We start from the raw sequence: 21,025 nt of genomic DNA on the forward strand, positions 1-21,025 counted from the left end.
GCCCTGGCCCAGGTCGGGCTTCCACCCCTGCGACCCGCGAGAGGCCCAGGCGGGAAAGGCGGCGAGTGGCGTCAGCGGTTCCGAAAGCAAACCTGGCCCGGTGCTACTGCCCGAGGGTCGCCGGGCGCGTTTCCTAATTCCCCCGAGTCTGGAAAACGGAGACTTCCGTAGCGTCTTCTTCAGTGCGTGCTGCGAGTGCTGAAGGAGGACCCGGTGCCTGGACGACCCGGAGCAGGGGAAGCACTCGGCCGACGCTGTCGCTGTCATCGGCGTCATTGGCGGGCAGGACAGTGGGGCGGGTAAGGGGCCTCCCCGCGCCTCCCGGCCCTTCGCGCTCGGCGCCAGCTCTTTGGCTCCCTTCCCTGCGCAGCTCTAGGCTTAGCTCTCAGCCATTTCTCAAGAAGACGATCCCGAGGGTCGAAGGCCGCCCTTGACCCTTGACCACGGACTCTCCGTGTAACTCGGAAGAGCCGTGATTTTAAAACCCGGCCTCGGGGTTACAGAAGCCCGAGATCTGGGAGGCGTCCGGGACCTCCCTCCCAGAACCGCAGGGACCCGGCCTGGGATCCAGGGTGTGGCCTCTCGCTCTGCGCGGTCGGGAAGGCGGCCGGGTCCGGTCACCGCGCCAAGCACTGCGCACCCCTGGGACGCGTCGTTGCGGGGGGCTGGGGGGCTGGGGCGCCTCCACGACGCCTGGTCTGCCCGGCCAGTGCTTGGTGTCGTTGGTGGGTTCGTGGCTGCGACGGGTAAACGTCCGTTCCGCGAGCCGGGCAAGGCAACCCCTGCGGGTCGCGCCCGAAGGCCGGACCCCTCCAAGCCGCCTGGGAGCTTCCAAACAGGTGGACCCGAAGCTCCTGTTTGATCGGAGAATAACGTTCAATTTACTCCGCCGCTGAACTGATGGTTTAAATATTCATCTTTGGATATGGTTTCACATTAGGCAAAAGTTAGGAGCTTGGAGGCGGTTCCGGGAAGGGGCCTGACCCTCAGTCACCCACGTTCGTAGCCGGGTGATCTGCCCTCGGGCAAGAGAAGGAAGATGATTGGGAGGGTGCCAAGAAAGCCTGGAGAAAGTCCCTTCTGGGTTCAGCGGCTGTAGCCGCTCTCCCAGGACGTTTGTTGGCAATAAATGAAGGAAGGTCGGCCCGGAGACGTTTTCGCACAACGGACAGAGGGGAGTTGGAGCGTAAACCAGCGAGAAGCTGGCATGACATAGGATCCCTCTATTCTCAGTTTGTTTCCAAACTCTTAGACTGCCCCAGCCCTGCCGGATTTGCTAAAAGTGGTCTCTTCTGGACGCCGGTGGGGCTATGGGGCTGACGGCTGCCTGTGCAAAGAAGAGGGAAGAATTGGAAGCTGGGGTCTGGGCAGCTACCAAAGATGGGGCTTGGGAACTTTTCAGAACGTCCTCAGAACCGCAGGAGCCAAGAGGAAATCTCCCGTAGGGGATCTCAGGTAGGGCATGCCAAGAAATTCCAAGAGACGGGATGGAGAAGAGAAGCCGGAGAAAAATCGGCCAATTAGACTCCTGTAAAAATGTGTCTCCATGTTTGTCCTCCCTCCTGAAATAAGAAATTCATAGCTGGGGGTGGGGAGTAGATGGGGGCTGGGGGAAAAACTTTCTCACATTCACAGAGCAGCTTCCCTCAAAGCGGCACGGAATCGGGAACCCCACTCGGGACAGGGGAAAACGGCCAAGTTCCTAGAAATTTGTTTTCTTTGTGGGGAGCAATTCATGATGGGCGTTCTTGTCTGGTTTCCCCCCACTCCGTCCCCTGACGCCGAGTAACACTTAAACCTTTCTAGTTGCAAAGTCTTTTCAGAGTTTTTTTTTTAGGAAATAAGTTTTGAAAATTCTAGTGCTTAAAAAATGTGTATATATATATATATATATATATATATATATATATATATATATATATATATATATGTATATTTATAGCCTTTTATTTTCCCTGAGTACATGTTGGCCACTACATTCCAAATTGATCTCAAATGGTTTTCCAGCTTGTTGGGGGGTGAGGAAAAATAAATGGAGAATATATTTACATGCCCTCCTATTCATTCTTTTAGAAGTCTCATAAATAGTAAATTTCCTATTTTAAAAGCCAGGACATTTTCAACCTCAAATATTTGGAATTTTTAAAGGCCATATTAAAATGGATTACTTCTGCTATCTATAATAAATATGAATTGTGAAAATAAATTGAGGGAAAATAATGTAGGTTTTAAAAAGTTCCATTTAGAAAGGGAAGAATGAGACGTAATAGAAAATAAACGATGTAGTGTAGTGACTTAGCATTTTATTTCGTCTATATAACTAGGCTTAATTTTAACACCTTAATTTTAACATTAAAGATGGCACGTCAGACACACAGATAAGAAATCAATGTTCTGAAATTAATATCCTACTTACATTAAACATCCCTATCAGGAAGACACAGAGAGTAGAAGCATTTTGCACTAGACTTAGGAATAATACTTCCAGTTCCAAGGAAGTGAAGAAGGGGGAACATGTTTGGCATCGGAGGCTGTGTTTTTGTTTGCTTGCTTGTTTTTCTTTTAATGCCAGAACAAAATACCCCACTCACGTTCATAGTACCCCAGGACATGTGCAAATCGGGAAAGCCACAGAAGCCACAACCGAAGGCAAGAAAAGATGACTTGACGCCCTGCGAAGGTTACGTTCAGGTGGTTTTTAGAGGAACGTAATCCAGCTGTTTCTTTCTAACCATTTTGCAGGGAACAGAAGTTCGTGTTTGCTCTCCAGCGGGATTCAGATGCACACGCCCAGTATGGGCCGCGCAAGGTGGAGTGAGCAGCTGCGGGTCGCTCCCCACTCCCACCTGGCTCTAGGAGGGCCCTGCGGACTCGGCCAGGGAACTGGGCGTGGGCGATACTAAAAAAACTGGTGAGGTCCCCTCTCCGCCCAAAGGGGCGGCCAGCGATGTCAGCCCAGAGCCCTCTGCCACCGCCTGATACCGCAGCAGCGCCGACGCGGCCGACAGGTGCCCGCCCAGCACCGCGCCCTTGGTGGGAGCGCAGCCGTTGGCGCAGTCCTCCTCCTGATGCCGCTGCTGTTGCTGCAAAATTGTCCGACAGGCTTGACGGTCGCTGGAGCAGGGGGCAGTAGCTCCACGCGGTCGGGGACAAACTCTGCGCAGCCCCTGTACCCGCTCCCCTGACCCCTTGCATGATACTCTCAATGCTGAAAGAGATGCATCCGCCTCCCGGTGGCGACGCCAGACCCTTGCCCTCCTCCCAAGGCTGAGGACCAAGTGAGGGCTGCAGCACGGGAAGGGTGCCGGGGTCGCCAGGTCCGCGCCTTCTGCTTTCTTCGGTGCCCCGGCATAGGCGGGGGCCGAGAGCAGTAGGTAGCGAGGAGGATGCGGGTGCAGCAGAGCGTAAGGGCGTCTCCCGGGGCCGGTGTTGGGGTAGGCCCCCGGGACTGGCTGCGGCGGGGCAGGGGCCCCAAGCAGAGGGCCTGGGCGGGGGTTGTGCAGGGCGGCGTGTGCAGCAGGTAGAGGGAAGGGGTGGGGCAGGTGGGCTCCCGGGGTCGGTTGGTGGCGCTGGAAACGCTTCCTACGCCGGAGAAAGCTGCCATTGTCGAACATGTCCTGGGAGGCGGGGTCCAGGCTCCAGTAGTTGCCCTTGCCTGGGCGGCCCGGCTCGCGGGGGATCTTGACGAAGCAGTCGTTCAGCGAGAGGTTGTGGCGGATGCTGTTCTGCCAGGCGGGGAACTTGCGGCGGTAGTAGGGGAAGCGGTCACTAATGAAGGCGCAGATGCCGCTGAGCGTGAGGCGCTTGTGCGGGCTTTGCAGGATGGCCATGGTGATGAGCGCGATGTACGAGGAGGGGGGCTTTGCCGGCTGCCGGGCATCTTCAGAGGCCGCCGCAGACCTTGGCGGTGCCCTGAACTCGGTGCCAAACTCTGAGGGGTCGCTCGGGCCGCCGCCGCCCTCGATGTGCTCTCGGGGAAGCGCAACCCCGCCCCACCGGGCCACCTGCAGCCCCGGCTGGAGCGACTGCTCTAGGAACTGCTGGCTCGCCGCCTCCTCCTCGTCTTCATCTTCCTCCTCTCCCAGGACATCGATTTTACCGTCTTCCCCATCGGAGTCCCGGAGGCTGCGCTGCGGTGTGGAGCGAAGGCGCTCAGCTCTTGGCAAGTTCATGGCGGAGCAGGTGCTTCAGTCGCAGGGGATGTGGCGGCCGGATCACCTGGCCCCGGCGGGCTGAGCTGGAAGCCCGGGATGAATGTTGCAAGAAGCAGGAACGCTAGTGGTTACCCTTTGGGATGTTTTCCTCTGCTTGTTTCTACGCCTTTGCAACAACGTCCGGCAAAGATGCCTTCGCCTTTTATAAAAGCTTCTTCAAGACCATGTGTGGTGGACGCCTCCCTTTATAACCCTTCTTCCCCTACCTCGGAGCGGTGCCACTTCCTCCTAACGTAGTCCAGGGATGATGGTCTTCTGGGCAAACACCGTCCGGAGAAAAGCCCAGCGCCCTCCTCCTCGCACCCACCTGCCACCAAGGAAGATGCTCTACTCATCCGGTGCAGCCAGACAGTAGGCAAGCCTTTGCACGGGTTCTGTTAAGGCGCATTTAAACCCGCGCAAATAAAAGCGAGGTAGGAAAGTAGGATACTCAACATTCTACGACCACCTCGACATGCAGCCTTCCCGCCTGGAGAAAAGAAATGGTGGGGTAGGAGGCTGAAATGTACACGGTTGTTTGTAAAGGAATGTGTAACCGTGAAAGTATGTTTTTGTGTTTCACAGCTGGTAATCACCCATTTTCATTGGTAGAGTCTGTCCTTACCCAGAATGGTGAGCTGAATTATATTTAAGGTTCTGACAATATTCCCAGGCTTCAGGGGGGTGTTGCTTTGCTCCTTCTACCTTCCTTCCCACCTCCCCAAGATGCTCTCCCTGACTCAAATTTTCAGAAAAGGTTCAAATGTCCCAGCACTAAATTGTGTAAGTTTATTCAGGGAAGGCAGGAGAGCTCACACGGAGTCCTCTGTCCCCTTGTAGCAATGGTTCTCCAATTTCTTTGAATATTTAACCACAGAAATACATTTTATATCACAATCTTACACATACAGACATAATACATAACTAAGATGGCTTTCACGAAACAATATACTTACACTATAGTGATCACTGATATTTCCTTTTAAAAAAAAATGGCCATAACCAACTAAATTGATTTCACACATACCAGTATGGGCCCAGTTTGAAAAATCCTGTTCTTACAAAGTGGCCCCACATACAAGAAATGCACCCACTCTATAAGGGCTTCTCTCTCTCCCTTTCCTCCTTCCTTTCTTCATCCTTTATAACCAATTCATTTTTAGAGACAGGGTCTATGTTGCGCAGGCTGGCTTTGAATTCCTGGGCTCAAGTGATCCTCCCGCCTCAGCCTCCTGAGTAGGTGGGACTACAGGCGTGCCACTATGCCTGGCTCTGGCTCTTCATTCTTTTTTTCCTTTTTTTTTTTTTTTTTTTGAGGCGGAGTCTCGCTCTGTCGCCCAGGCTGGAGTGCAGTGGCGGGATCTCGGCTCCCTGCAAGCTCCGCCTCCCGGGTTCACGCCATTCTCCTGCCTCAGCCTCCCAAGTAGCTGGGACCACAGGCGCCCGCCACCGCACCCGGCTAATTTTTTGTATTTTTAGTAGAGACGGGGTTTCACCGTGTTAGCCAGGATGGTCTCGATGTCCTGACCTCATGATCCGCCCGCCTCAGCCTCCCAAAGTGCTGGGATTACCGGCGTGAGCCACCACGCCCGGCCTCTTCATTCTTTCAGAAATGTCAACATTAAGTGCTTTTACTGTAATAAAACTTGGGACTTCAATGAGGCAAGAAGGGGCTGCAGTGTTGCCTTTAAATCAGTGGGTCCTCATTCACTGTCTGCACTGGGGAGGGGCAATATGACAGCACAACTGTTCATCTCACTCGCTCCACATCCTTAGAAGTAACACGATTTTTAGATTGGCTTCATGAAAATTAGCTCAGAGACTAAAGTAGCACTACAGAGGAATAAAAAAAATATTTGTTATATAAATAAGGATCTTATTAAAATACTAAGTAAGATACTATGCCACGGTATATATTCATAATTTAAAACCCACCTACTTGGGAAAACTTTGAGGTGCCATCTAATAAAAATGCAGCATGAAAGAATATTATGCCCTTGATAGTCACATAGTGTCTATAATTATGACAATGAATGTTCAGTGAGAAATCAAACGCCAACTGCAAGGGCAAAATATAATAAAAAATAGCTTAAAGTAGCTAGTGCCTTCAGGATAAAATCTGGAAAAGGGCTTTCTTGCTGATCTTTTTTTGAAACTTTGCTGCTCCTGAAGTTTTTACCCTTTAAGGCTCCTCAGTTTATATGAAGCTTGGAGGACAAATAACAGACAGGTTTGAGCCTAACAGATTTGTTTGAATCCCAAATTTACCAATGACTGCTTGTGTGACCTACTAAACTAAGCTCCAGGAGGGCCAGGCCAGGTGTCTTATTCAACCACAAAATCCCAGCGCCCCCAGCATGTGAGGCAAATTTCCTCCATCAGCATAGGAATCGGATGACCTGGGAAAGGGAGTATTGTTAGTTTTCCTAGCGCCAGCTTCAATAGGGATTGGGGTTATTTAAAAATACAGGAGAAAAGTAAGGAGGCACTCAAAAACAAAACACAAAACCCACATTGATGGGGGTATGTCAAAGGTGGGAACAGGAGATAACGGAAAGAGTTCCCAATGGTCAAAGCTGGGATAATTTGAGCAACAAAATAAAGCAGTATTAAATTGTAACCCAAAGTATAAAATATTCATGTGTCCACACTGATAAACATAAATGATCGAACTAATAAAGCGAAAGGGACAACTGTCCTTTGCAGAAGAATTTCAATTAATCATGTAGACCACTCCCAAGAAAGTACACTACAACTCCCCATTCCTTTAGTGTGGGCTGTGCATAGTGATTTCCTTCCAAAGAGCACAGTATGAAATGGGGGAAAAGAGTAACTTTACAATGGAGAAACCTGACAAACACTCCTTCAGCCAGGTGATCAGGTCGTCAACATCAACATCAATAACAGTCATAACCTTTTATTTCATGTCATAAAATGGTGACACTTACTTGTGTTAAAAAAATTTAATAACAATGTAATCATTATATCTCTGCAATCAGCTGAAGTTCTAAGAAAAAATGACAATGTTGAAAGTTGTATCATCATTATTATAAACTTTCATGTTCAGTATATGTAAACTCCAAAGCCAATTTCAAAAGATATTTTTGTGAAATACCATTCTTTAAAAAAAAGGATATTATATATAACTGTATGAATGTTAAATGTTTTACAGTACTGATTTGCTACATTTTATGTATGCTGTAAAACAAATACCATTTTAAAGTATATTGGAATTCGTAACTAAAGTAATAAATAAATGCTTGAAATATACCCAGTAGAAACTTATTTTTATTATCCAATCCTTTTGATAAGAAATGCCTCTAGTGTTATGTACAAACTTGATCTTCTTGGAAACGTGTTGTCCACTGCTTTTCTGTTTCTGTCACAGTAGCTATAAACAGCTGTTTAAGGATATCCTTATCTAAATTTCTGCCTGCAAACAAAACAAAATATGACGTGATTACATTATGCTTATTAAAATGACACAGTTCACCTATCAATTCCAGTTCATTAAATGCTTTATGGTGTTTAGAAATTTACAAAAAGAATAGTAATTGAGTGATTCCATCTTTAACTTTCCAGGTCAGTACATCAAAGTCACATTGGTCCTTGGATTAACCACTTTTCTAAAACTGAAGAAGAACAAAAGTCCTAACAAGCTTTTACGAACGTTGTAACGTGATAAAGATGAAACATTGACCACAAGCTTATTTAGTTTTAAAAGAGGACCTGAATGGTTAATCTGTTTAAGTGGCACATGATATCCCTTTCAAATATATTTTTCACTTTGTTTTAAAACTGTGAATCCTTTGAGACTTACCAAGGAGGACCAATCGATTTGTTCTCTCAGTGTCATCCTTCCAGCTCACTGGAGTCTCCTCCAGATCATAGAGCTCATGGACACCCTGGACAATCACTTGTTGTGATTTGTCTTTGATTGACACCAATCCCTGCTCAAAGGAGAATTGACTGAACATTAATCAGCCTCAGTTCAAACTTAAAAGCAGAAATAGAGCATCAATGTTAATGGATTAATTACTGATATTCACTTAAAAAATACAAACTCTTAAGCTGAGAAAATTACTTAATTCCAATTATTTGTGAATTACAAGAAGTTTCTTAATGTTTTTAATTTTCAAAAAAGGTTTCTGTGTATTGATTTTCTTTTTGAACAATCCCCTTTTCTAATGATAAAGTTAATACATATATTAGGATGGTTTTTCAGTGTTATTTATCACAACCAAAACCTGAAACAAAATGATGAAATATGTATCATATCCTATTGATTAAAGATTTTATATAATGTTTCACAGTTTTCGTGGGAAAAGTTGAGAAGTTAAAGGAGTTTGGTTATATTAAATAATTTGTTTTAGAAATGGGTTGCAATCAATGAACAATGATGAAATAAAGAAAAACTATTATATTTATCTGAATATGAGCTCATTGTGTATTGATTTGCAGAAATGAGAAACGAATTATCTGATAAACTGGCTCCTATGGGGATGAAATTAATTTATTTGAAATAATATTCTTAATTTACCAAAAACTTTGTGCACACTTGTGAACACACAAGAGTAGACACTCAACTGACTGGTTAAGCATACACTTTAGAATCACTGCTTCCTAGAAGAAATACCTTTCATGACTTAAATACCCAAATATCAAGTAACGTGAGTGGGTTTCTAAATACAGAACAAGAATTCTTCTAGTCCTTTGTAACTTTGTTTAGAGTATGACAAATGTTTAGTGTCTGCTAAATGCATCAGGAAGCATAATGTTCAGCAGAAGTGAGATTTGCAACATTATTTCTCTGTACTTGGGAACAGAGAGCAGAAGGTAACATTTCAAAGCACACAGGTTTGTTCTAGCTGCAACCCTAAAGAAAGTTGTGCAAATAAATCAAGCCTTATGCAGTGATTTCCAAAGCTCCTTTTCAGTCACGAAAATAATAAAGAAAAATGAAAGTAGACAAAGATGATTTGTACTAAAACAAGTGTTTCTGTTTAAAACCAAATATAGTTTTTATAACAGCCAAGAAAAGGACTTTGTCCGAAAGTCTGCAACAGTAAACTGTACCTTCAGCCTTATGACCTCCATGCAGTGATTGTCCTTGTTTCTCACATTCTTTTCCCACAGGAGATTCTGTATCAAGTGACATATTTTAATAAGACCAACCATCGCTAATAGCAACAACTATGTAACAAAACCATTGATAAATCATTAATCAGTTAAAAATTGCATTCACCTGAATAAACATATTAAGATGTTCTTCCTTTGCATTTCCTGGTACTTCAAATGTGATTGTAACAATACTCTGTAAATCAAGGGAAATAACAATAATTCTTTATAGTAATATCAATGTTTTTTAAATCACAAATTTTAAGATGAAAAGGAACATATTCATGGAATTTTACATTGCTTAAACCATATATATTAGGTATTATACTTTCCTCAGCATATGTGCTGTTTTTTTGGAATTAGCAACTCCATTTCCTACATTCTGCACAGGTACCAATGGATTTAGTATTTACACAAACTACTACCTTGTATTTTAAAAAACTCACTCAAAAACCCTGATGAAGGGGTCCTCATTATTTAATTCATTCTTTCGTGGATTCTCAGCAATAAGAATATATGTAACACATACAATGTACTCACTACACAGGGCCAGGTACTTTTGCCTGAGTCACCTCATTTTATCTTTTGACTTACTCTTCACAACAATCCTGGGGAGTGAAGATAACTATTTCATTTTATAAATTGGGGAAAATAAGGGTCAAAAAAATAAGCTACCCAGAGCCAGGAATAAAACTCAAAACCAAAGTAAATCTGTTCTCTTAAAAAAAAATACAAAAGAAAGGCTTGGCTTATCTTTAACTGAATAAGCATGTGCCAAGAGGAGAAGAGTTCTTAGCGATGAGAATGATAGGATAATGCCCTCTTTGGCTTTAGTAAGGGGGACATCATCATGTATTGAATATTAACTTTAGGATTTATTTTTCTTCTTTATCTTGATAAATCTCTCACTGTCTACCCTAAAGAAACAGAAGCTTAACATTTCCTCTAACAGGTCACCTAATTAAAACCCAAACCTCCCTTTGCCAATATAACCCCAAATTTCAAACTCAGAGATGAAAATACACAAGGGCTAAGCATAACATTATAAAAACATACACCCCACCTTGGAAAATAGAGGCTCAAAAGCCAAGCTCAAAATGAATTTAAAAAGGTAGAAAATAATATACTAAAGCACATCTTTGCATAACTTCCTAGAACTGCATATCTGGCCTAGCAATTTTACTCACCATTACATAATCATACAGGCTTACAGCAGAAAATACAAAAAGACCAAAACTATTTTATAATCCAAACTCAAGAGAATCGCTAAAGTATTAAAGACCAATTTAGGCAGAAACATATGAGACATTTCTTTCTTTCCATAGGTTACTGGGGAACAGGTGGTGTTGGTTAACTTCTTTAGTGGTGATTTGTGAGATTTTGGTACACCCATCACCTGAGCAGTATACACTGCACCCAATTTTTGTCTTTTATTCCTCATCCCCTTCCCACCCTTTCTCCCTGAGTCCCCAAAGTTCATTGTGTCATTCTTATGCCTTTGCATCCTCATAGCTTAGCTCCCACTTATGAGTGAGAACATAGCGATGTTTGGTTTTCCATTCCTGAGTTCTTTCACTTAGAATAATAGTCTCCAATCTTATCCAGGTCACTGCGAATGCCATTAATTCACTCCTTTTTATGGCTGAGGAGTATTCCATTGTATGCATATATATCACAGTTACTTTATCCACGCATTGATTGATGGGCCTTTGGGTTGGTTCCACGTTTTTGCAATTGCCAATTGTGCTGCTATAAACATGCGTGTGCACGTATCTTTTTCGTATAATGACTTCTTTTCCTCTGGGTGGATACCTAGTAGTGGGATTGCTGGACCAAATGGTAGTTCTACTTTTAGTTCTTTAAGGAATCTCCACAGTTTTCCATAGTGGTTGTACTAGTTTACATTCCCACCAGCAGTGTAGAAGTGTTCCGTGTTCACCACATCCATGCCAACATCTACTATTTTTTTGATTTTTTTATTATGGCCATTCTTGCAGAAGTAAGGTGGTATCGCACTGTGGTTTTGATTTGCATTTCCCTGATCATTAGTGATGTTGAGCATTTTTCCATATGTTTATTGGCCATTTGTATATCTTCTTTTAAGAATTGTCTATTCATGTCCTTAGCCCACTTTTTGATGGGACTGCTTTTCTTGCTGATTTGTTGGAGTTCATTGTAGATTCTGGATATTTGTTCTTTTTCAGATGTATATATTATGAAAGATTTTCTCCTTCTCTGTGGGTTGTCTGTTTACTCTGCTGACTGTTCCTTTTGCTGTGCAAAAGTTCTTTAGTTTAATTAAGTCCCAGCTATTTATCTTTGTTTTTATTGCATTTGCTTTTGGGTTCATGAAATCCTTGCCTAAGCCAATGTCTAGAATGATTTTTCCAATGGTATCTTTTAGAATTTTTATAGTTTCAGGTCTTAGATTTAAGTCTTTAATTTATCTTGGGTTGATTTTTGTATACAGTGAGAGAGGAGGATCCAGTTTCATTCTCCTACATGTGGCTAGCCAATTATCCCAGCACCATTTGTTGAAAAGGGTATCCTTTTTCCACTTTATGTTTTTGTTTGCTTTGTTGAAGATCAGTTGGCTGTAAGTATTTATTTCTGGGTTCTCTATTCTGTTCCATTGGTCCATGTGACTATTTTTATAACCGTACCATGCTGTTTTGGTGACTATGGCCTTATAGTATAAGTTTGAAATCAGGTAATGTGATGCCTTCAGATTTGTTCTTTTTGCTTAGTCTTGCTTTGGCTACGCGCATGTGTATGTTAAACCATCCCTGCATCCCTGGTATGAAACCCCTTGATCATGGTGGATTATCTTTTTGATATGTTGTTGGAATCAGTTAGCTAGAATTTTCTTAAGGATTTTAGCATCTATGTTCAAGGATATTGGTCTGTAGTTTTCTTCTTTGGTTATGTCCTTTCCTGGTTTTGGTATTAGGGTGATACTGGCTTCATAGAATGATTTAGGGAGGATTCCTTCTTTCTCTCTCTTGTGGAATAGTGTCTTTAAGACTGGTACCAAGTCTTCTTTGAATATCTGGTGGAATTCTGTTGTGAATCCGTCTAGTCCTGGACATTTTTTTGTTGGTAATTTTTTAATTACCATTTCAATCTCCCTGCTTGTTACTGGTCTGTTCAGGGTAATTCTTCCTGATTTAAGCTAGGAGGGTTGTATCTTTCCAGGAATTTCTCCATCTATTTTAGGTTTTCTAGTTTATGCATGTAAAGGTGTTCATGGTAGCCTTGAATATCTTTTGTATTTCTGTGGTGTCAGTTGTAATATCTCCCGTTTCATTTCTTATTGAGCTTATTTGGATTTTCTCTCTTTTCTTGGCTGATCTTGCTAACGGTCTATCAATTTTATTTATCTTTTCAAAGAACCAGCTTTTTGTTTCATTTATCTTTTGGATTTTTTTTGTTGTTTTGTTTCAATTTCATTTAATTCCGCTCTGATCTCCTTTCTTCTGCTGGGTTTGTTCTTGTTTCTCTAGTTCCTTGAGGTGTGACCGTGGATTGTCTGTGCTCTTTCCGACTTTTTGATGGAGGCGCTCAGGGCCGTGAACCTTCCTCTTAGCACCGCCTCTGCTGTGTCCCAGAGGCTGACAGGTTGGGTCACTCTTGTCGTTCAGTTTGAGGAATTGTTACATTTCCATCTTGATTTCATCTTTGACCCACTGATCATTCAGGAGCAGGTTATTCCATGTATCGGCATGGTTTTGAAGGTTCCTTTTGGAGTTGATTTCCAGTTTTATTCCACTGTGGTCTGACAGAGTGCTTGATATAATTTTAATTTTCTTAAAATTTATTGAGGCTCATTTTGTTGGCTATCACATGGTCTATCTTACAGAAAGTTCATGTGCTGTTGAACAGAACGTATATTCTGTGGTTGTTGGATGGAATATTCTGTATATATCTTTTAACTCCATTTGTTCCAAGGTATAGTTTAAATCCACTGTTTCTTTGTTGACTTTCTGTCTTGATGACCTGTCCAGTGCTGTCCGTGGAGTATTAAAATCCCTCACTATTATTGTGTTGCTGTCTGTCTAATTTTTTAGGTCTATTAGTAATTCTTTTATAAATTTGGGAGCTCCAGTGTTAGGTGCATATGTTTAGGATTGTGATACTTTCCTGTTGGACAAGGCCTTTTTTCATTATATAATGTCCCTCTTTGTCTTTTTAAACTGCTGTTTCTTTAAAGTTTGTTTTGTCTAATATAAGAATGGCTACTCCTGCTCACATTTGGTGTCCGTTTGCATGAAATGTCTTGGTCCATCCCTTTACCTTAAGTTTATGTGAGTCCTTATGTGTTAGGTGAGACTCTTGAAGGCAACAGATAGTTGGTTGGTGAATTCTTACCTATTCTGCAATTCTGTATCTTTTAAGTGGAGCATTTAGGCCATTTATATTCAATGTTAGTATTGAGATGTGAGGTACCACTCTATTCATCATGCTATTTGTTGCCTGTATACCTTGTTTTTCTGGTTTTTGTTGTTTTTCTAATTGTATTTTTGTTTTATACGTCCTGTGATATTTATGCTTTAAAGAGGTTCTGTTTTGATATGTTTCCAGGATTTGTTTCAAGATTTAGAGTTCCTTTTAGCATTCTTGCACTGGTGGCTTGGTAGTGGTGAATTCTCTGTTTGTCTGAAAAAGCTGTATCTTGCCTTCATATATGAAGCTTAGTTTTGCTGAATACAAAATTCTCAGCTGATAATTGTTTTGTTTGAGGAGGCTGAAGATAGGGTTCCAATCCCTTCTGGCTTGCAGGGTTTCTGCTGAGAAATGTGCTGTTAATCTGGTAAGTTTTCCTTTACAGGTTACCTGCTGCTTTTGTTTCACAGCTCTTTCTTTCATCTTAACTTTAGATAACCTGACGACAATGTGCCTAGATGATGATCTTTTTGCGATGAATTTCCCAGATGTTCTTTGTGCTTCTTGTATTTGGATCTAGGTCTCTAGCAAAGCTGGGGAAGTTTTCCTCAATTATTCCCCCAAATATGTTTAACAAACGTTTAGATTTCTCTTCTTCCTCAGGAATGCCGGTTATTCTTAGGTTTGGTCATTTAACATAATTCCAGATTTCTTGAAGGCTTTCTTCATATTTTCTTATTCTTTTTTCTTTGTCTTTATTGGATTCGGTTAATTAGGAGACCTTGTCTTCAGGCTCTGAATTTCCTTCTTCTACTTGTTCAATTCTATTGCTAAGACTTTCCAGAGCATTTTATATTTCTATAAGTATGTCCATTATTTCCTAAAGTTTTGATTGTTTTTTATTTATGCTATCTAGTTCATTGAATATTTCTCCCTTTACTTCTTGTATCTTTTTTTTTATATATCTTTACATTGGGCTTCACCTTTCTCTGGTGCCTTAGCTTAATAACCAACCTAGTGAATTCTTTTTCAAGTAAGTCAGGGATTTCTTCTTAGTTTGGATCCATTGCTGGTGAGCTAGTGGGATTTTTTGGGGGGTGTTAAAGAACCTTGTTTTGTCATACTACCAGGGTCGGTTTTCTGGTTCCTTCTCATTTGGGTAGGCTCTGTCAGAGAGAAGGTCTAGGGCTGAAGGTTGTTGTTCAGATTCTTTCGTCCTACGGGGTGTTCCCTTGATGTAGTACTCTCTCCCTTTTCCTATGGATGTGGCTTCCTGAGAGCTGAGCTGTAGTGATTGCTATCTCTCTTCTGGATCTAGCCACCCAGCAAGTCTACCAGGCTCCAGGCTGGTACTGGGGGGTAGTCTGCACAGAGTCGGGAGATGTGAACCATCTGTGGGTCTCTCAGCTGTGGATACCAGCACCTGTTCCAGTGGAGGCGGTAGGAGGGTGAAATGTACTCTTTGAGGGTTCTTAGCTTTGCTGGTTTAATGTACTATTTTTGTACTGGTTGGCCTGCTGCAGGGAGGTGGCACTTTCCAGAGAGTGTCAGTTGTGGTAGTATGGAAAGGAACAGGTGATGTGTTGGGCTCTAGAATGCCCAAAAACATGAGATATTTAATCTCCACTGTTACTAGTAATAGGAAAAGCAGAAAAGTGCTTTCTTGCTTGATAAGAGAAGTACAAGCAGACTAAAAAAAGGTTCAAATTGAACTTGCAAATGTGAGACTTTTAAAAGTACTTATTTTGTCACAGCAGTCAAGACACTAACAACCACCTAAATGTCCAGGACAGTTGAATGGATAAAATAAATGTGGTAATATACATACAACCAAATATTATGTATCCTTAAAAAAAATCCCGTCATATACTACAACATGGATGAATCTTGAGGACATTACACTAAGTGAAATAAGCCAGTCACAGAAGGACAAATATTGCATGAATCCACTAATATCAGGTGTCTAAAACAGTGAAACTCATCAAATCAGAAAGTAAAACGGTGGTTACCAGGGGTGAGAGGGAGACGAAAATTGGGGGGGGCTGTTCAATGGGGATAATTTCAGTCATGCAAGATGAAAAGGTCCAGAGGTCTGCTATGTAACAATGTACAGACAGTTAACAATACTATATTGTACCCTTAAAAATTTGTGGAAGAAGGTAGGTCTCATGTTAAGTGTTTTTTACCACAATAAAAAATATACAGTCATGGATACATAAAGAGAAATGAGCTGTTGGGCAATTTTGTTGTTATACAAACATGATAGTGCACTTACACAAACCTAGATGGTATAACCTACTACACACCTAAGCTATGCTGTATAGCCTGTTGCTCCTAGGCTACAAACCTGTACAGCATATATGTTACTGTACTGAACAGTGTATGGAAATAATAACGCAATGGTAAGTATTTGCGTGACAGTAATTTTTCAGCTCCATCGTAATCTTATGCAGTCTGACTAAAACGCTGTTATGCGGTGCATGACTATACTTATTTTTAAATCTTAATAAACATACTCTATTTTAAAACTATTTTTATAGCATAAGGTAATAATAATATGCATTTTTAAATGACAATTATTTTATTTCTTCATTAAAGGAATCACTACAATACCTAAAAGTCCACATAAAAATATACAGCAAAAGGTTGTCAAATGAAACATAACTGTCAGTTAAAAAAAAATAAATTTAGTCTTCAAAAATGTTTAAAATGTATTTTAATGCAAGTTGGAAAACTATATTGAGAATGTCGCAAAATACGACTCCAAATGGCTTTATTGTTAAAGATTTTAACTTAATAAATTTTTTTGAGATGGGGTCTCACTCTGTTGCCCAGGCTGGAGTAGAGTGGCACAATCATGGCTTACTGCAGCTTTGAACTCCCAAGCTAAAGCAATCCTCCCACTTCAGCCTCTCGAGTAGCTAGGATTACAGGTACATGCCACCATGCCTGGCTAATTTTTTGTATTTTTTGCAGAAATGGGGTTTCACCATGTTGCCCAGGCTGGTCTACAACTCCTGGGTTTTAAGCAATCCACCCACCTTGGCCTGTCAAAGCGCTAGGATTACAAGCATAAGCCACCACACCCAGCCTAAAGATTTTTATAATGATTTTTGCTTTTATCAGGTTAAATATGTGACTTAATATTTTTAAGGGGTACAATAAACTCCAGTATGAGACAAAAAAGGCTTTAAAAATTAAGATAACGCATCATGGGGCTCAATAAGGATGATCTATATTTTGGAACCAGATGTTTTCCTACACCAATAAACTCTTTTCACGTTAGAAAAACCCTGAAAAAAATCTGTAATTCCCAGTGCAGAAGATAAGGGTCACAACTCATAGTTGGTTCTAATAATAAACTAAACATTATTTGTCACTTGGGTTTTCTCATCTACCTTCCCACTCTCCAAACCCAGGTGTTCCTTATGGGGAATAAACAAAGAATCCATGAAAAATAGATAACTGCATTAAAAATTCAGGGATAGAGCCTTAATAACACATATATACTAGGTCCTAGGTATTACCCATTTCAGACTTTTTTTTTCCAGTTTTTGTTTTGAATCTAAAATTAACTCCTTTTTCCATGTATGCTGACACAGAAAGAAACAGAAAAGTGAGCCAATAATTGAGAAAACTAAAGCAAAATAAGGAATTGTCTCTAAAATAAAATTTAGGAACAACTTACTCAGGTTTGTTTATTTAGTCTGTTTCTTCTTTAACCCACTGGGTTATTTCTCCATTTTCTACTTTTTTGCAAACAATACCTAGCATACAATAACTTTTATAGGTTTTCTTCATCCAGAACACTAAGCCCCCTAATGTGCTTAAACTCAAAATCTGTACCTTCACACTCTATCCCTCTGTTCTTCTTTGCCTGTATAATATCTATACTATAATATCTGGCCACCAGGGACAACTGAATATATGGCATTATCATTCAAATCACTTTGCCTTCCCGATTTTTCTATTTCTAGGTTTCTCTAGTCAATCTAGGCTCGTTTCCCATCACCCCTTCTTTTCTTTCTGATCCATACTCAGTCAGACAGGATATTCAGGCAAGTCTACTGGTGAAACAGCTCTGGATTTATCCCATTTCTAGTCTCACTGTAACCAACATGTTTCAGGCCCTTATCACACAGTATCTTCCCGCATGGTCTCCGGACTCTAAAGTCCAATCTAGCTTACATAACACTCCTAGACAGCACTGCTTGAGTTCTCTTTGTCTAGCAAATTAAAACCTAATACCTTAGACCAGGATTCCAGTACCAACTCTCCACTAAGACTTCTGTACCAGACACCTACTCATCTATAAGATTCTCACCTTCTCATTTTTAAACATCCGTATTGCTCTTTTCCTTACTTCTTCCCGTCAAAAAAAATCCTACCGTCAAAAAAAATCCTACCAGTTCAAGGTTATTTTTTGTTAAGTAAGTCAGAATAGCACTTACCCCTTCTTTGACTAGGAAGGGGCAAAAAGGAACTCTTTACAATTTTGGATATCTTTTGTATCTTGACCTGAGTGGGAGTTAGAAGGATATGTGTTTGAATGTGCATATAGACAGATATATAGGTACAAATATATGTAAAAATACATTGAGGCCGGGCACAGTGGCTCACGCCTGTAATCCCAGCACTTTGGGAGGCCGAAGCAGGTGAAGTCAGGAGTTTGAGACCAGCTTGGCCAACATGGTGAAACCCCATCTCTACTAAAAAAAAAAAAAAAAATACAAAAATTAGCTAGGCATGGTGGTACATGCCTGTAATCCCAGCTACTCAGGAGGCTGAGGCATGAGAATCACTTGAATCTAGAAGGAGGAAGTTGCAGTGAGCCAAGGTCACACCACTGCACTCCAGCCTGGGTGAGACTCCAGCCGGAGCGAGACTCCGTCTCAAAAAAAACCAAAAAAACAAAAACAAAAACAAAACCCAAACATCGAATTGTACACTAAAATTACACATTTGCATGCTTTACTGTATGCAAATAAATAAACCAAAACCAAAACAAACAAACAAAAAACTATCCTCATGAAGCATTTGATGGGGTTCAGGACATGCTATCCCAAAATATGCCAATTCAATATTTGAGAAAATGGCAGAATCAGGAAGGTCACTCTCACCTTCTCTCCTGAAGCAGGTCATAAAACCTAGGAAAGATTTTCTGACCTTCCGCTGATGCAGGTCATAAGACCCTCATTTAAGAGGTGCCCTCTCTATACACAGAGGAAAACAACATCCTTAAGTCTGAATATGAAGGGTCACAGAGAAAAATCTGAGCAAACAGGCCTTGCTAAGTTCTTCCCAGTTTATTATTAGATCATACTGTTTTATCTAATTATGCTTCTCCATTACTATCCTCTTCCATATCATAACTAACAGAAAACATACACAGGTATGTTTTATGAAGGCTCCTGTGTCAAGTAAAACTTACTAAATAAATTTCTATGTTGAAATTTCTCTTGATAGTTGGTCTTCTGTTAGAGAGACCTCAGCCATGAATCTAGTGATAGGCGAGGAAAAGATAAATTTCCTCCCTTACACCTCAGATCCACTAAACCAAATGAAATTGTTCATGCCTCTGAATCCCATAGCCCTTTGGCTGTGATACTATTTTCCCCTATGTTTATATTATCTAAAGCAGGACAGTGCATCAGAATCTCCTACAGAGGTTACAAAAATATAGATATGCCCTATTTAGTAGTAAAGTGACATAGTGTCTGGAATTTGCTTTAATACACTACACCAAGGGCAATAGGTACATACAGGCTCATTATACCATTCTACTCTTACGCACGTTTGAAATTTCCTATTAAAATACATTTGTTTTTTTTAAATACTCCAGGCAAAAGAAATGTTGGGAGGATAGGTGAAATAAAATCAGCTAAATGTTGATGCCATTTAAACTGGGTGATGCATACAAGGGGTTCACTTTACTATTCTGTTTATTCTTTTATATCTTTGAAATCTTCCATAATAAAATGTTAAAAATATACATTAATATACACATACCCAAGTCCCAATCCTGGAGACTGAGGGTGAGAACTACTGAGTTATCGAATTTTTTTTAAAAAGGCTCCACATGCGATTCTGATTTATGCCCCATTTGAGAAACGCAGCTTTTCATTCTTGTAACAAATACTCACTGAGTACCCACCAAGCCCTGTACTAAGCAATACAGATTTTATACGTAAGGAACGTATAGACTCATGCCAGGCAAAAGCATTTCAAGCAAACTGCAAGGCATCGTAACCGCCACAATAGAGGTTCATTCGAGGCTCTATGGATGGAGACACTGGCCGCCCCAAACGCTCATGGAAAGTGAGCGCTGCGTTTGCTTCATCTTTTCATCCCTATGATTCTTGGCATCACGTTCTTTACCCAGAAGCTCAAATGTGCTTCATGTTCAGCTATATGACAGATACTGACTATCATGAAGAACTGGGTTTTTTGTTTTTTTACCATAAATTCTATCTCCAAGGACTTGTATTTCTCTCATTTATTCATTTTAAAGATAAGTGAAGAGGAATATCCTATTAACAAAAGTTTCACAGGGAAAGGTGCCACAAACATAGTGGCAAACCTGCTCATAAATGTGAACCAAAATGAATACAAATGCAAGTAGCTGTTATCTCGGCCCTATTACAACCAATAGCAATTCAAAAACTGAGTGATCACTTGAGAGAGAGGAAGGAAGATTAGGCACACTGCTCACTTACACATCCCCCACTCCACCCCTCAGGGTTTTAAGAGGAACAAAGAAGTTATCCTAAAGCTCTACGATCTATGATCTGCTTAACAGAAACGCAGGTACAGTAAAATTATATTTAAATTGTTCCTAGCATCTTAGATATTTACCTTAGGGATTAGAATTTTAGAGCATGAAAAACATCTTAAGGAGTTCAAATTTATAGTGCTACCTGAAGGTGAAACTCCAAGTCAATTTTTATTTAAATAAGCCATGCTTATATCAGACCTTTCCTTAAACAATTCAACATACTTAAAAACAGACTGCCTATAGAACCCCCAGGCTGCTTTTAAGGAGTAATCCCTATCAGAACTAACCAATATGCTAAGCAATCTACAGAATGGAAAGGCTAGAAAGCATGATTTCCTCAGATTCTAAAACAAATCTGGTTTGATGAATTCCTATTATGTGTTAAGAAATAGAATTAGACTATGTCAAAAGCATTTAAGATTCCAAAAATTATCAACACAGTTCAAAAATACCATTTTAGAAAAAGTTTATAATAAAATAGTCCTAAACATAGCCTATCTAGTTAAAGAGGTCCTTTAAAAACATTGATTAGGAATTTTGGATTTAGATTTTTTTT

The 21,025-nt window shown here is 41.1% G+C and overlaps 2 protein-coding genes and 1 long non-coding RNA gene across 25 annotated transcripts in view, besides 4 other annotated features; all 3 read right to left on the reverse strand.

Moving 5' to 3' along the window:
* Positions 185–234: an enhancer, noted in NCBI's record as "active region_28114". NCBI's record gives its function as "activates an Ori minimal core promoter by ATAC-STARR-seq in GM12878 lymphoblastoid cells {active_cell/tissue: GM12878}" and the evidence as "EXISTENCE:reporter gene assay evidence [ECO:0000049][PMID:35858748]".
* Positions 600–1,206: an enhancer, noted in NCBI's record as "H3K27ac-H3K4me1 hESC enhancer chr9:114547-115153 (GRCh37/hg19 assembly coordinates)". NCBI's record gives its function as "activates a minimal SCP1, AML or CMV promoter by ChIP-STARR-seq in naive H9 embryonic stem cells {active_cell/tissue: H9 hESC(naive)}" and the evidence as "EXISTENCE:reporter gene assay evidence [ECO:0000049][PMID:30033119]".
* FOXD4 (forkhead box D4) lies at positions 2,284–4,470 on the reverse strand. The gene has a single exon (NM_207305.5). It carries the CDS (start codon positions 4,170–4,172, stop codon positions 2,853–2,855), a length of 1,320 nt encoding a protein of 439 aa, NP_997188.2. The 5' UTR covers positions 4,173–4,470; the 3' UTR covers positions 2,284–2,852.
* Positions 2,978–3,521: an enhancer, noted in NCBI's record as "H3K27ac-H3K4me1 hESC enhancer chr9:116925-117468 (GRCh37/hg19 assembly coordinates)". NCBI's record gives its function as "activates a minimal SCP1, AML or CMV promoter by ChIP-STARR-seq in naive H9 embryonic stem cells {active_cell/tissue: H9 hESC(naive)}" and the evidence as "EXISTENCE:reporter gene assay evidence [ECO:0000049][PMID:30033119]".
* Positions 3,522–4,065: an enhancer, noted in NCBI's record as "H3K27ac-H3K4me1 hESC enhancer chr9:117469-118012 (GRCh37/hg19 assembly coordinates)". NCBI's record gives its function as "activates a minimal SCP1, AML or CMV promoter by ChIP-STARR-seq in naive H9 embryonic stem cells {active_cell/tissue: H9 hESC(naive)}" and the evidence as "EXISTENCE:reporter gene assay evidence [ECO:0000049][PMID:30033119]".
* The window catches only part of ZNG1A (Zn regulated GTPase metalloprotein activator 1A), a 58,220-nt gene continuing 44,084 nt past the window's right edge, over positions 6,890–21,025 (reverse strand). For 20 of the 23 annotated variants that reach the window (NR_174355.1, NR_174360.1, NR_174356.1 and 17 more), the window contains 4 exons: positions 9,439–9,507; positions 9,270–9,335; positions 8,014–8,143; positions 6,890–7,626 (listed from right to left, as the gene is read on the reverse strand). Coding sequence is in view for 16 of the 23 variants with exons in the window: in NM_001399798.1 (NP_001386727.1) it covers positions 7,520–7,626; positions 8,014–8,143; positions 9,270–9,335; positions 9,439–9,507 (372 nt within the window). In the remaining 7 variants the exon portion in view is untranslated. The remainder of the gene's footprint in view (positions 7,627–8,013; positions 8,144–9,269; positions 9,336–9,438; positions 9,508–21,025) is intronic. The other 3 variants (NR_174357.1, NM_001399809.1, NM_001399805.1) reach the window with 1 other exon arrangement.
* On the reverse strand, positions 14,655–21,025 carry LOC105375942 (uncharacterized). The gene is made up of 2 exons (XR_929381.2): positions 18,815–21,025; positions 14,655–18,212 (listed from the first exon to the last, which is right to left on the reverse strand). It is a non-coding gene; the product is annotated as an uncharacterized LOC105375942 (long non-coding RNA).

Source organism: Homo sapiens, chromosome 9 (assembly GCF_000001405.40).
Source record: "Homo sapiens chromosome 9, GRCh38.p14 Primary Assembly".
Taxonomy (NCBI): Eukaryota; Metazoa; Chordata; class Mammalia; order Primates; family Hominidae; genus Homo; species Homo sapiens.